The sequence below is a fragment of the Homo sapiens genome, chromosome 16, assembly GCF_000001405.40.
Source record: "Homo sapiens chromosome 16, GRCh38.p14 Primary Assembly".
Taxonomy (NCBI): domain Eukaryota; kingdom Metazoa; phylum Chordata; class Mammalia; order Primates; family Hominidae; genus Homo; species Homo sapiens.
The window spans coordinates 19,216,517-19,231,958 of NC_000016.10; the positions used below are offsets into that span (position 1 = coordinate 19,216,517).

General features: G+C 42.7%; 1 protein-coding gene across 16 annotated transcripts in view; it reads left to right on the forward strand.

Moving 5' to 3' along the window:
- The window catches only part of SYT17 (synaptotagmin 17), a 100,499-nt gene that overhangs the window by 48,683 nt on the left and 36,374 nt on the right, over positions 1–15,442 (forward strand). For all 16 annotated transcript variants that reach the window (XM_047434203.1, XM_047434206.1, NM_001330509.2 and 13 more), the window contains 2 exons: positions 6,529–6,649; positions 8,167–8,322. In XM_047434203.1, coding sequence (XP_047290159.1) covers positions 6,529–6,649; positions 8,167–8,322 — 277 coding nt within the window. The remainder of the gene's footprint in view (positions 1–6,528; positions 6,650–8,166; positions 8,323–15,442) is intronic.

The following is a 15,442-nucleotide window of genomic DNA, read 5'->3' on the forward strand; positions in this document are numbered from 1 at the left end:
TGCTATCCCTCCCTTAGCCCCCCAACCCCCAACAGATCCTGGTATGTGATATTCCCCTCCCTGTGTCCATGTGTTCTCATTGTTCAGCTCTCACTTATGAGTGAGAACATGCGGTGTTTGGTTTTCTGTTCCTGTGTTAGTTTGCTGAGGATGATGGTTTCCAGCTTCATCCATGTCCCTGCAAAGACATGAACTCATCCTTTTTTATGGCTGCATAGTATTCCATGGTGTATATATGCTACATTTTCTTTATCCTGTCTATCATTGTTGGACATTGGGGTTGGTTCCAAGTCCTTGCTATTGTGAATATTGCCACAATAAACATACATGTGCATGTGTCTTTATAGTAGAATGATTTATAATCCTTGGATATATACCCAGTAATGGGATTGCTGGGTCAAATGGTATTTCTGGCTCTAGATCCTTGATGGATCTCCACACAGTCTTCCACAATGGTTGAACTAATTTACACTCCTGCCAACAGTGTAAAAGCTTTCCTATTTCTTCACATCCTCTCCAGCATCTGCTGTTTCCTGACTTTTTAATGATCGCCATTTTAACTGGTGTAAGATGATATCTCATTGTGGTTTTGATTTGCATTTCTCTAATAACCAGTGATGATGAGCTTTTTTCCATATGTTTGCAATTATTTCTTAATTGAGGTGAAATTCACATAGTATAAATGTAATCATTTTAAATATACAATTCAGTGGCATTTAGTAAATTCTCAGTGGTGTGCAACCATCACCTCTATCTAATTCCAGTTCTGGAATTATGGAATTCCATAATTGGAATGTTCCATATGGAACATTCCCATCACCCAAAGGAGACCCTGTATCCATTAAACAGTCACTCCATATTTCCCCCACCTCCCAGATCCTAGCAATCACTCATCTACTTTCTATCTCTATGGATTTACCTATTCTGGATATTTTATCAATGGAACTGTACAATATGTGATTTTTTGTGTCTGGCTTCTTTCACTTTTTTGAGGTTTGTCTACATTGTATCAATGCTTCATTGTTTTTATGAATGAATAACCTACCATTGCATAGATAGGTGATGTTTTGTTTATCTATCTGTTGATGGACATTTAGGCTGCTTCCACTTTTGTCTATTGTGAATAGTGCTGCTATGAACATCTGCGTACAAGTTTTCATGTGGACATGTTTCCTATTCTCTTAGGTATACACCTAGGAATGGAACTGCTGGGTCATACACCAACCTGTTTACCAAAGCAGCTGCACCAGTTTTCATTACCACCAGCAGTATACAGCGTTCTTGTTTACCACATCCTGGCCAACACTGCTTATGATTTTGTGTGTGTGTGTTTATTATAGCCATCCTAGTGGGTGTGCAGCCCCTGGAATTTTGATTTGTTTTTATATCTTCCTTGCTCTCCACCAATAGATACTGAGTTGCTTGATGTCTGGGATTGCTGCTTAATCACCAGAAACCTTGTGTAAGGGTTAACCATGGGCTGAGTTTGAACCTTGTTCTTTTTGTTTATGATATATGATCTGGAGCAAGTCATGCAGCTCAAGCTCTCTAAGCTTGAATTCTTTCATCTGCAAGATGGAAGCCTCTGGAGTTGTTAAGGAAAAGAAATGCGATTCAGCTTTAGTGCCAGGACAGTGCCAGGACTATGGTGATTTCTCCATAAAGGTTTGCTGTAACAATCATAATCGTGACATCCCCAAGTGCTTGGACCTAGTACCTGTTACATGAGCGTTTATTAAATGAATCAATGAATCCTTTGCTATTGCACAATTAGCCCTCTTTTTTACTTTCTATCAACTGCTCCCCTGACTCCAGACAACAGTTTTACAAATTGATCACTCCCCAGATAAGGCAGACAGAAACAGTGGCCGGATCAATGGGAATGGTTCCCTGGAAAAGTACAACCTGAAATCCCTGTTGTGCATGCTGTGTATGGAGGATGGGATGGGTAGAGAGTACAGCAAGCTTGTATCTGCAAAGGGAAGAAGGAATAAAAGAGCTTTGCTTTCTTAAGATGAAAAACACTCAGTCTTCTTAGAAAAAGGATGACTTCAGGAAGTGCCTTGTTGAAGGTTCGATCAATGGCCCCAGGGGAGGGAAGGAACAATTCTATCCACACTTGAAGGCTGCAGAGGTGGCTTGAGGGGCTCTTAGGTATTGAGGGCCCAGAAGATGGCCTCACCACCTCCTTCCAGTTCTGTGAAGACTGCCAGGATTGGGCAGAGCCCCTGGGATCAACCACTGGGCAGCTTGCCTTGGTTCCTGTAGGCGTCTCTAGAATCCATTCATTCTGCCCACACTGGCCTTCTCTTTGTTCCTTTGAACACACTGACTGAGTGATGCCGGGTTTATTCCTCCCTCCCTCCATCCCAGACCTTGCACATGTTGTTCCCTCTGCCCCATGAGTCCCTATCCCTCTTTCCTCCCTCATTCCTCTTCAAACCTCGCCTCTCAGAGAAACCCTACCCCATCCACCGACTGAAAGGGCAGCTCCCACGCGAACCCCATCCATTCTCTTACACTGCCTAATTTGTCTTGTTTTCCTTTTTCATATTTATTTTATGTTTTTAATGGGAATATTTCCCACATAAAATAATAAAACAAGGCCGGGCGCGGTGGCTCACGCCTGTAATCCCAGCACTTTGGGAGGCCGAGGCGGGTGGATCATGAGGTCAGGAGATCGAGACCATCCTGGCTAACAAGGTGAAACCCCGTCTCTACTAAAAATACAAAAAATTAGCCGGGCGCGGTGGCGGGCGCCTGTAGTCCCAGCTACTGGGGAGGCTGAGGCAGGAGAATGGCGTGAACCCGGGAAGCGGAGCTTGCAGTGAGCCGAGATTGCGCCACTGCAGTCCGCAGTCCGGCCTGGGCGACAGAGCGAGACTCCGTCTCAAAAAAAAAAAAAAAAAAAAAAAAAAAAAAAAAAAAAATAATAATAATAATAATAATAAAACAAACACCCATGTGTCCATCTCCCAGATGTCGTAAGTCGCCAATATTTTGCCACATTTGCTTACTTCAAATCACTCCCTTTCAATCAACTGCATTGAGGCGGAACTTACTGTTTGTTGATTTTTGGCAAATGCACACGTAACTGCTACCACAATCAAGATATAGCATATTGCTATCACCCAAGAAATGTTCTTCCTTTCTCTCACTCTGCTATATTTTTCTTCCTAATACTTAGCATTACCTGAAATCATCTCATTTATGTATTTTTTAAAATCTGTGTGCTATCCATCCCCCCCACAGGAGTGTATGTTCCATAAAGTCAGGGACGGTTCTCACTGGTGTATCCTTAGTCCTGGTACATAGTAAACTGTTTTTTGTTCTGTTTTGTTTTTGTTTTGTTTTGTTTTGTTTTAAAATAAAAGGAAATATCACTGTGACTTATAAACCTGGGAGGAGCAAAGTCCAGGAGGACCTGGATGGCCTGGGCTCCTGAGAATTCTCCGCATTGCTCATACTAGAGTAGATGTGTCAGCAGGGTCATGCCCTAAAGACACCGCATCTTCCAAGCCCTTGAGAAGCAGCAGGAAACCCCTAGCAACAGTGCAAAAGGGGCTGAACTTCTTTTATTACTCAAGACACTCAGTTGACCATTCCTATTTTGAAAATCTCCATACTTGGATACCCAGGGCAGGGCAGCAGGAATGTAAAGGGGCAGAAATGGACAGATGAGGTATGATGTGAAGGGGGCAGGTCCCATCTAAAGGAGCACTGCACTGCTCTGTGGCTAGATGTTGGGTTAAAGAAAATTATTCAATGACATTTCTTTCTTTCTTTCTTTTTTTTTTTTTTTTTGAGATGAAGTCTCGCTCTGGTGCCTGGGCTGCAGTGCAGTGGTGTGATTTCGGCTCACTGCAACCTCCGCCTCCTGGATTCAAGTGATCTGCCTCAGCCTCCCAAGTAGCTGGGATCACAGGTGCACACCACCATGTCTGACTAATTTTTGTATTTTTACTAGAGATGGGGTTTCACCATGTTGGCCAGGTTGGTCTTGAACTCGTGACCTTAGATGATCCACCCACGTTGGCCTCCCAAAGTGCTGGGGTTACAGGCATGAGCCACTGCACCTGGTCCTCAATGACACTTCTTGAAGTATGGCAAGGCAGAATTTATTGAGGACCATCATGATATGTACAGGGACCACAGTAATGGGATTTTTCAGTCACAGAGAGAAACTAGGCTCAGCCTCAAATACAGCATAGACAAATGGGAATCTATAGCCATGGAGCAAAGTCGGGGGTCAGGGATTTTTTAAAAACATTACTAAGAGGAAGCATCAGAGGAGTAAGGGGGACTCTGGCTAAATCAACCTAGCAGGATTTTTGCTGGAGACAGGCCAGGGTGATCAGACATTACCTGAGGGATGACGAAGAATGAAGAACCTGTCTGGGCATGATGGCTCATGCCTGTTATCCCAACAGTTTGGGAGGCTAAGGCAGGAGGATCACTTGAGGCCAGGATTTCAAGACCAGCCTGGGTAACACAGGAAGACCTCAACTCTTAAAAAAAAAAAAATCATCCAGGCATAGTGGCACATGCCGTAATCCCAGCTATTCAGGATGTTAAGGTAGTAGGATCCCTTGAGCCCAGGAATTTGAGGTTGCAGGGAGCTATGATCATGCCATTGTTCCAGACTGAGTGATAGGGTGAGACCTTGTCTCAAAAAAAAAAAAAAAAAAAAAAGAGAGAGAGAGAATGAGGAATCTGACCAAACTGACTTAGCAGCGTTCTTTGCAGAAACTGGATTTTACAAGGTGGTGCACTGATGGGCCTAGGAGGTTTAGGAGCCTGACTAAAGTTTGGTCAAGTAAAGAATCTTTGTCACTTGCCTGGTGGGAATGCCAGCGTTACCAGATCTTCCTGTTTTTCAAGCAAGGCAAGAAACCCACATTTTTTAAAAATGTGGAATAGCCTGATTCTTGAATTGTATAATAATTAACAAGTAATTATAAGTTAAAATGTGATGTGGGGCAAACAAAATACACCTGCAGGCTGTTTGTTAGCAACTTCTGAGTTAACATGCGAGATTGTTTCTTGTTTGTTTGGGGACTAACTCACTCAGTACAGGAATCTTTTGGTTTGACTGTTCACCCTGTCAGTAGATGTTTATTGAGTATCTACTATGTGCTAGGCATTGTTCTAGAGCCGCTGGGTATTGTGCTAGGCATTTGGCATTAATTTGTTGAAATGACTGGCATCAAAAAAGATAGAGATGAAAGATAGATGATAAAGATAGATAATAGACATAGATAAATAGATGACTGACAGATAATAGATGGTTAGATTATAGATAGATGAGACAGTTAGATAGATAGATAGAGATGTTACCCTTTAAAGATACATATTGAAATATTACAAATAATATAATGACTGGGAGTTACTTCAGAGGAATATGGGGAGTTGAATGAAGGTGTAAGTGAGGGGAGATTCACCATGGGATGAGAATTTTTGAAGCTGAATGATGTTTGGGTACGAAGATGGTGGGGTATACTCTTCTGTCTGGTTTTGAATATGACTGGAAATTTCCCACACTAAAATGCTTGTTTTAATGTCCTCATCAGTTAAAGATGCATTCTGAAGGATATGCAGGTACAATGACACCATATCGAGGGCTTAGTTTAAAATATTCAGCTAAAACGTTTCACAAGTCAGAATATAGGTGAAATACCATTTGGCAAAATGTCGATAATTGTTACAATTTTGTGACGGATAGATGGAGATTTGTTATGCTAGTCTATTGTTTTGTATATGGCTGAAATTTTCTACAATACTTTTTTTTTTAAAAGGGGACAGAGAAGTGGGAGGCCTCCTGTTTTCTAGGTACCTTTGGCAGTATGGAGTCATGCACTTAGGTGTTCATGGGAATTTTCCACAGTGTGACAGAGCTGACATCAAGGGGATGGGTACTCTTCAACAAGGGATGTCACTGTGCCGAGTGTTGCTATCGTGAGGTTAGAAGCGTGGGATCTGCTGGGGACTCCAGGTTAAGAACAGATTTCTCACTCAGTTCCTCTGCAGGGCATTCTACCTCCCAGGTATCCTATTGGATGGCAGAATAACAGCAGTCAGAGTATCTGGAACCAAATCAGCCTCCCTGGGTTTAAGTACCAGCTCTACCACTTTCTTGCTGTGGCTTTGGACATGTTATTTAACCCTGTGAGCCTCGGTTTCCTCATCTGTTAAACAGAGTTAATACTAATACCTCACAGACTCATTAGTCATTACATGTAAAGCGCTTAGCGTAGTACATGGCAGTGAAGCATTTTTTAAAAAATTATTGCTGCTTTTGTTGTTATTGTTGTTGCTGTTGAGTGATCTAAGAGCGGAAAAAACTCAGAGATAGATGGACCACAATAATTAGAGGCAGAGATGAAAAGAAGTCACACACAGAGGCTCCCACTGTCAACTGATGCGCTCACAGCAACCTGTTTGTGAGCTGCTGCAATCAATTTCTTGTATGGTGGGTGCAAAAGGAATAAAAGGAGAAGGCAACTTCCTGATCATTTCCTTTCTCTACAGAATGAAGTGGAGCTGGGGGAGCTGCTTCTGTCACTGAATTATCTCCCAAGTGCTGGCAGACTGAATGTTGATGTCATTCGAGCCAAGCAACTTCTTCAGACAGATGTGAGCCAAGGTTCAGGTACCGTGTGATTCCCCTCTTCTCTCACTTTATTAATGGGGCATCTGTGTTTGTGTGGAGAACCCAGTTTTCTTTTTCCGTATCCTGGATGAGCATTACTCATCTCAGGATGAGGCAGGTAAATGATGCCATCTTAGTAACCCTATTGGAATTGGGGAGTTGACTGAGACTGGTTGTGATAACTACTGGAAACTTAAAACCTATTTGAACCCAAGGAAGTGACTTGGCCTTTCCAAATGCTATTCCTGCAATGTAGACGCCATCCTGCAGGTGGCGATAGTGTGCATTGACTATCCATTCTAATCAATGAGCGTGGAGGACACACCCTAAGGTTTTTCGCCAGCTCATTTCATGTGTGCCATAAATTTTTATGAATTCCAACTCTGAAAAGACTTGTATTTAAAGTGTGTATATTATAGCAAAAACCATTCAAACATGACTTTTAATGGAACGGAACAGATTCCATTCCATCTGCATGTTGCTTCTTCCATGACAGCAAAGGATATTACTGTGAAAGCAGCTGTAGTCAGGGATCTGTTCAGCTCAGTGGTGGAATTATTGTCTTCTCTAAGTGCGGTAGCTAAAATAAATTACTTTTGCAATAAGGTGACAGCTAGAAGACACCTTGCATTCTCAAAAGCCACATTATAAAAACAGAGGCTTAGAAAGGGCCAGTGGAGGCAATGGTATTAAGACTGAAGAGTTTCAGACTCACCACGATGGGAGAGTCAGTATGATAAAATCATTAAGGGTTTAGGAGTCAAATGATGTGGCTTACAAATGATGTGGCTTTAGGGAAGTTACTTAACCACTATGTGCCTCAATTTCTCAATCTCAAAAACTGACATAATAACAGTATTCATCTTGATAAGTTGTTTAAACAAATATTAAATTAGATAATGTACATGAATCCCTTTGTAAACTGTAAAATGATCTAAAAATGAATTATAATTCTGCCATCTCTATTCACCTGTATATGGGCTATGGGCTCACTGAAATGATAATGGGTTTCCACAGACAGAAATCCAGGGCAGGCTCTGAGTCTGGTTCTGTGTCCACCAGCAAGATCTTTAAAAACTGATTTCTCACCTTGAGTCCTCAGTTTTCTTATCTGTAAAATGAACACAATGCTGACATATGGGAGGAGCTCAACAAATATTAGATGGCTAAAGGAAGAAGGAAGGGGATAAGCAGATGAATGGGAAAATGGATGGATAATAGATGGATGGATGGTTGAACTGTCAAATAGATGAGAAATTGGATGGATAGAAAATGGATAGATAAAAGTATGGTGAGATGATGAATGGATCAGTGAACTGACGGATGGAAAGATGGATGGATGGATAAACAGGTGGATGAATGGACGGACTATGAGATGAATGAAAAGTTGAATGGGTGGATGGATAGAAGAATGGAGGAATAAAAAGACAGATGGATGGGAGGTTGAATGGCAGAATGACTGGACGGATTAGGTTTCATGATCTCCAACATTCTATGATGCTGTGTCTAATTTTCAGACCCCTTTGTGAAAATCCAGCTGGTGCATGGACTCAAACTTGTGAAAACCAAGAAGACGTCCTTCTTAAGGGGCACAATTGATCCTTTCTACAATGAATCCTTCAGCTTCAAAGTTCCCCAAGAAGAACTGGAAAATGCCAGCCTAGTGTTTACAGGTAGGTAGCATTCCAAAACCCGATGAACTCCAGGTGAGGCACGTCAAACTTACTGTCCTAGAGCCAGAAGGCATCTAGAGAGAGTTACATTTAAGAACGTAATGTCTGGCATTCAACTACCTGGGTTTGAACCCACTTAACATCTATGAACTGGGGCAGGACTCATAGAGCCCTATAATATAATTGTTAGAAATGTGGACTTGAGCCAAATTTCCTCAGACTGCCACATAATAACTGAGGTCTTTGGCAAGTTACTTAACTCCTCTGAGCTTCAGTTTCCTCATCTACAAAATGTGAACAATAATAGTACGTGTGGCATAGGTTTGTTGTGAACAGTAAATGACTTACGACTTTGCAATATACTTGGTACATAATAAGTACTCACTATGTGTTAGTTTTGATGATGATGGTGGTGATGATTCAAGTTCCCTGCAGTCAAATAGAGAGGCATATGAAAAAACAGTGTCACCTAACTCAGAAAAAGGGATTTTTAAAGTCTTCCCAGAGGATGTAGTATTTAAGTAGAGGCTTCATGTGACACTGTCTGGTAGAATTTAGTCCATTTTTCCAGGGTGTAATCTAATGTAGTATTTCCAGGGTATATTAGTTATTTATTGCAGCATAATAAATCACCCCAAAATTTAGTAGCTTGAAACAACAAACATTTATATCTCATAGTCCCTGTGGGTCAGAAATTCAGGTATACAAAGCTTTGCTGTATAGTTCTGTGTGAATACCTCTGACAAGGCTGCAATCAAGGTATTGGCTGAGGCTGCAGCCTCATCTGAAGGCTCAACTGGGGGAGGATCTCTTTTCAAGCTCACTCACAGTTTTCAGCATGATTTAGTTCCCTGCAGGCTGTTGAACTGGGGACCTCAGTTCCTTCCTGGTTGTTGGCCAGTGACCTTCCTCAATTCCTTGCCACATGGGCTTTACCATAGAACAACTCACAACATGACTTTCATCAGAGTGGTCAAGTGAGGGAGCAAGAATGGCAAGGAAGAGTCTTTTTGTAATCTAATACTGGAAATGACATCCTATTACTTTCATTATATTCTATTCACTAGAAGCAATTCACTAGGTCCAGCCCACACTCAAGAGGAAGGGATTACACAAGGGTAGGAAGAGTGGGAGGTGGGAACCACTGGGACTCATCTTAGAAGCTACTCACCACAACAGGGATAGAGTTAGTAGGAGTAATGGTTATTCTTTCTTGTGTTCTAATTACAGTATGTACTTCCCTATATCATTGCTAACATTCACCATAACCCACCCTGTCAAGTTGATATCTTCATCCTCAACTTACAGATCTAGGGACTGAGGCTTAAAACCTAAACAACCTACACAAAGTCTCAAGCTGATAGAATCAGGACTCAAGCTCTGGTCTTGCCAGCTCCACATATCAAGGGATCTATATTTCCTCAAACACCCAGGTAGGGCTAGAACTGGGGATCGACATCATCCTTTGAGACATCCTTCTCCAGGGTAACTGGAAACTCTCCTCTGGTTAGATCTTGTCTAGAACCCTGGGCTCCAGGTCTCCCAAGAAATCAATCCATGGCTGAAAAACCCTTGCATACAAGATTTCCCCTATATAAACTTATTGCTCCTTCTCACCAAGATTGCAAATGTCTATCCTCTGAGACCCCTTCGAAGCAGGTTGGTTCTGGGTTTTCTCAAGGCCTGTCACCCATAGAGTCTGCGTTGAATCAGGGGATGCCTGCCATATGCAGATATAATGATCCCTTCTAATGCAGTCTGTGATGGCTGCTGTCCGGATGGAGTTACAAATAGACAAGGGCCTCACTCTCTCCTAGGTTTCAGGCCAAGACAGAAGACCGTCACCCCTGACTCCTTAAATGGTGGACAGGCAGGTAGTGGGGCCTATTGTATATTAAACCAAGACACAGATAAAAAATGAAGTCTCTTTTCCCAAGTCCCTGCTGAGAATAAGGGACCTCCTATTGTAAGCTTAGATGAGGAGAGGACCCCAGGGGAAACTGAGAGCCCCCATGGAAAGCCCTGACACTTCATATTTTACTTAACATTTTATGATAAATGTAGCACACACGTGTTATAATGAGTGACACCATGAAAAGATGTGTAAGGACAGAGAATCAGAGGAGAACAGGGGTTATGTGCCTGTGCTGGGGAGCTGATGTCTGGGTCCTGGCTTTACCACTCACCTACTTTGGTGACCCTGGGCAAGATCTGCGTGCTTAGGTTTTCTCAGCTGTAAAATGGGGATAACAATACAGGACACTTCACAGGATTGTTATTTGCATTCAGTGAGATCAATAAACACACGGTGCTGAGCACTGTGCCACCCATAGTAAGCACTCTAGAACTGTTAACTGTTATTAAAGGGAAAGTTTAGTGTTTTCCTTTTTTCTCCCACACACATGGGGCAGCCACCACCTTCTCACTCCCTCATGCAGTTTTGTTTATTTCAGAGTGTTTTCTTGCTGTGTAATCCTTCTCCCCGCTTTTTTTTTTTTGAGACAATCTCATTCTGATGCCCAGCTGGAGTGCCATGGCATGATCTCGGCTCACTGCAAGCTCTACCTCCCAGGCTCAAGCAATTCTCGTGCCTCAGCCTCCTCAGTACTTGGGATTATAGGTGCACGCCACCATGCCTGGATAATTTTTTGTATTTTTTGTAGAGACGGGGTTTTACCATGTTGGCCAGGCCAGTCTCAAACTCCTGACCTCAAGCAATCTGCCCACCTCGGCCTCCCAAAGTGCTGGGATTACAGGCATGAGCCACCACGCCTGGCCTAATGTCTTCCTTTAATGCCTTCCCCTTTCCAGTTCCTTCTCCCTGAAGTCATGCCTTTAATGTTCTGCTGTGTAGCATTCCACACTTTTTTCCTTGTTCACACAAACAATATCCACATACAGAGGGTTCTGTTCCTTTAAAACATTATTCATGAATTCAGCAAGTGTGTATTAAACACCTTCTGTGCCAGGCAGTGCTTCCAAGTTCTGGGAATAGAGCAGTGAACAAAACAGACCTAATCCCTGCCCTGGCGGAGCTTACCAGGACATTCCATGGATACCACACTGACACTTGCTTTGGTTTAATTAACAATGAATGTGTTCGTTGCCTTCAGATCAATATGAATACAAATGGATTTAACTTTTCATTTTTAATAACTGCATTAGATACTGTTGCATGATGTAGTATGATAAAAGCTGAGGTTATTTATTCTGGGGGTGGGGGGGTATGACAGAACTTCAGGGATTGTGATTAGAACTCCAGAAAAATACATGGAAGTATGGAAAATTTTGCATATAGTTGCAGAGGTTTTTTCGAATTCCTTGAATTCCATATGGTTACCTCATAAGGCTCAAACTACAAGGGTAGCCACACCACACCCCCTCTCCATACATCTTTTATTCAACCCACGGCACTTCAGGTGGCAACTGTCAGCTGGGGCAGTGGTCAGCTGATGCTGTCAGGGAAGTCCTGTACTCTCCATTCACAGAAGACCCGCTTCTCTCCTGTAAGTTTTGGGGCCCTGACTTGGAAGTTCAGGCTCCTCTGGTTAAAAGCTCGTTGAAAATATTCTTTCTGGAGAAGGAAGCATTGCCTGCCTGCCCCCTTAAATCAGGGATTCTCAACCCTGGCTGTACCTTAGAATTACCTGAGAGCTTTAAAATGCTACCAATGGCTGCACTGCATTCCGCAGAGACTCTAAAGCAACTGGACTAGGCTGAGGCACTGAGCATCTATAAGTAGCTATTTTTTAAAAACACCCCAGATATTTCTATTGCTCATTCATTGTTCCGAACCACAGCTGTGAGTGGAAATCCCAGCTAGGGTGGCAATTTACATAAAGGGTACTGGCTGGAATAATATGAGAAAGGTGTCTTAAGCCAGTATGTATCTCAGCAAAGCTACAGTTCTCCTGAACTCAGATTCATAAGGTTCTAACCTGCTTTATTTGTCCACTGAGAGAAAGAGCTGTCACCTCTAGGCCGAGGAACCAAAGCCCAGCCTATTAGCATGTTTCCAAACACTTCATAACAAAAGTAAGGTTGGTCTGCAATTTAGCATTTGCCGTGAATCCCTGGTAAAAGCCTGTAATTAGCTGGTAAGCTGGACTTTCTGAACACTTGTTTTCCTGTGTGGGAGGAGGATTTGTCTGCAATTTTCTATCAGGTGGTTTCTGCAGCTGAAGTTTAAAAATAAAAAATGAAAAGAGGGGTAAAATTGCTTTTCACCGCCCAAGATAGCAACACACAGCCCAGAGGGCTTCCAGGAAATTCAGGAAGGTTTACTGAACCAAAGTAAAGTGGAGCTGGCCACTGAGGTGATTGGGCTTTTACTGGATGTTGGGAAAAAGAAGGAAAGAAAGCGTATTAGTCCGTTCTCGCATTGTTACAATGAAATACCGAAGACTGGGTAATTTATAAAGAAAAGAGTTTAATTGGCTCATGGGTCCTCAGGCTGTACAGGAAGCATGAGGCTGGCATCTGCTTGGCTTCCCAGGAGGCCTCAGGAAACGTACAATCATGGAGGAAGGGAAAGAGGGATCGTGCACCTGACATGGCCAGAGCAGGAGGAAGAGAGTGAAGGGGGAGGTGCCACACACTTTTAAACAAGCAGATCTCAGGAGAACTCACTCACTATATAGTACCAAGGGAGATGATGCTAAACCATTCATGAGAAATCCACTCTTATGATCCATCACCTCCCACCAGGCCCCACCTCCAACATTAGTGTTTACAATTTCACATGAGATTTGGGTGGGGACACAGAGGCAAACCATATCAGAAAGGCAGAAAAAAGAAATGCAGCTTGATGGCAAATCTTCAAAAAGTTAAAAATAGAATTAGCATGTGATCTAGCAATTGCACTTGTAGGTATATACCCAAAAGAATTGAAAGCAGGGACTCAAACTCTTATTTGTACACCTACGTTCATAGCAGCTTTCCTTACAACCACCAACAGGTGGAAGCAACCTGAACATGCATCGACAGATAAATGGGTAAACAAAGTGGTGCATACATACAATGGAATATTACTCAGTCTTGAGTAGGAAGGAAATTCTGACCCATGCTACAACATGGATGAAGCTGGAAGACATTATGCTAAGTGAAACAAGCCAGATATGAGAGGACAAATGCCGTATCATTTCATTTATGTGAAATACCTAGAGTAGTCAAACTCATAGACAGAAAATAGAATAGAGATTATCAGGGGCTGGGGGAAGGACAGGATGGGGAGTTATTATTTAATGGGTGCAGACTTTCATTTGGGGAAGATAAGAAAAGTTCTGGAGGCCAGGCATGGTGGCCTGTTCCTGTAATCCCAGCACTTTGGGAGGCCGAAGTGGGTGGATCACCTGAGGTGAGGAGTTTGAGACCAGCCTGGCCAATATGGTGAAACCCCATCTCTATAAAAATACAAAAATTAGCCAGGCGTGGTAGTGAGCACCTGTAATTCCAGCTACTCGGGAGGCTGAGGTAGGAGAATCACTTGAACCTGGGAGGCAGAGGTTGCAATGAGCCGAGATCACGCCATTGCACTCCAGCCTGGGCAACAAGAGTGAAACTCTTTAAAAAAAAAAAAAAATTCTGGAGATGGATGGTTGTGATGGTTACACAACACTGTGAATATACTTAATGCCACTGAACTGTATACCTAAAAATGGTTACTTTTATGTTACACGTATTTTGCTATAATTAGAAGGAAAGAAAAAATAAGTAAATGAAGCTTCAGCCCGGCAGATCCTGAGCAATTCAGAGAAGTACCTGGATGCTGATGCTGGAACCTGGAATACTGTTCTTTTCCCTGAGAAAAGAATGTTCTTTCATTGCCACTTTGAGGGAATAGTTAGGCGTAATAGTTAGGAACCAGACCTTTAGCTTGGGTTCATATTTGTGACTTACTTGCTGTGTAATCTTGGCACTTTGCTTGGCCTCTCTTTGCCTCAGCTTCCTCACCTGTAAAATGGGGATAATGGTACTTACTTCGGTGAATTGTTGCAAAGTCCAAATGGGTAAATAGACATAAAGGCTTAGAGCAATGCTTGGCTCAGAGAAAGTCCTCTTTAAATATGAGACGTTATTATTATTACTTGAAAGACATCCAATTTATGCAGCTAGATGCTACCTTGAGCTTATCTGAAGAAAGGCTACATATATATACATAAATAAATAATATAGTTTATCTACGTTGTCTACATAGAGTCTGAGATTCTGTGGAAAACCCAAAGAGGGAAGGAAAAAATTATTTTGCAGAATTACCTGGGTAGGGTATTGTCTTCCCTCTCGATGTTAGAGAAAGGCCATCTGTCTTCTTGGAGGTAAAGTTTTGGAGAAATCCCTAAATTTGAAAGAACCAAATGTCATGTGTTGAGCCTCTAGCCTTCTCCCTCCCTCAGTTTCCCCTAAGTGGCCAGGGTTTCCTGTCCTTCTGAAAGGCACTCAAAACCCTCTGTATGCTGGGCACAGTGGCTCATGCCTGTAATTCCAACACTGTGGGAGGCCAAGGCGGGTGGATCACCTGAGGTCAGGAGTTCGGGACTAGCCTGGCCAACATGGTGTAACCCCATTTCTACTAAAAATACAAAAATTAGCTGGGCATGGTGGCGGGTGCCTGTTATCCCAGCTACTCGGGAGGCTAAGATCATGCCATAGCACTCCAGCCTGGGCAACAAGAGTGAAACTCCATCACAAAAAAAAAAAAAAAAAAAAAAAAAAAGAAAAGAAAAAAGTCTTATTCCCTTGGCAAACTTGATCAAGAGGCGGCCCTTGGCTAAGGAAGCGTTTCCAAAGCCTGGGGGAAGGCAGGTGGAGGAACTGCTGCTTGCTGGCCGCCTGTTATGGCTGAGGTGGGAGGGGGTGGGACCAGCTCCCTGGGGCTGGAGCTGACCATGTGTCTGTCCTTACTGATTAAATTTTTGGAGCACCTACTATGTACCTGGCACCGTGCTAGACGTTATGTATTCGACAGAGAACCAGACATTCACGGCCTGTGTTCTCATGGAGCTTAATTCTAGTAGAGGCAGACGGACATTAATTAAATGCCACACCAATAATGATTGAATTGTAAATTGGTCTAAGGGCTCTGAAGGAGAGATGCAGGGCACATTTCAGAGTGTCTGACCCA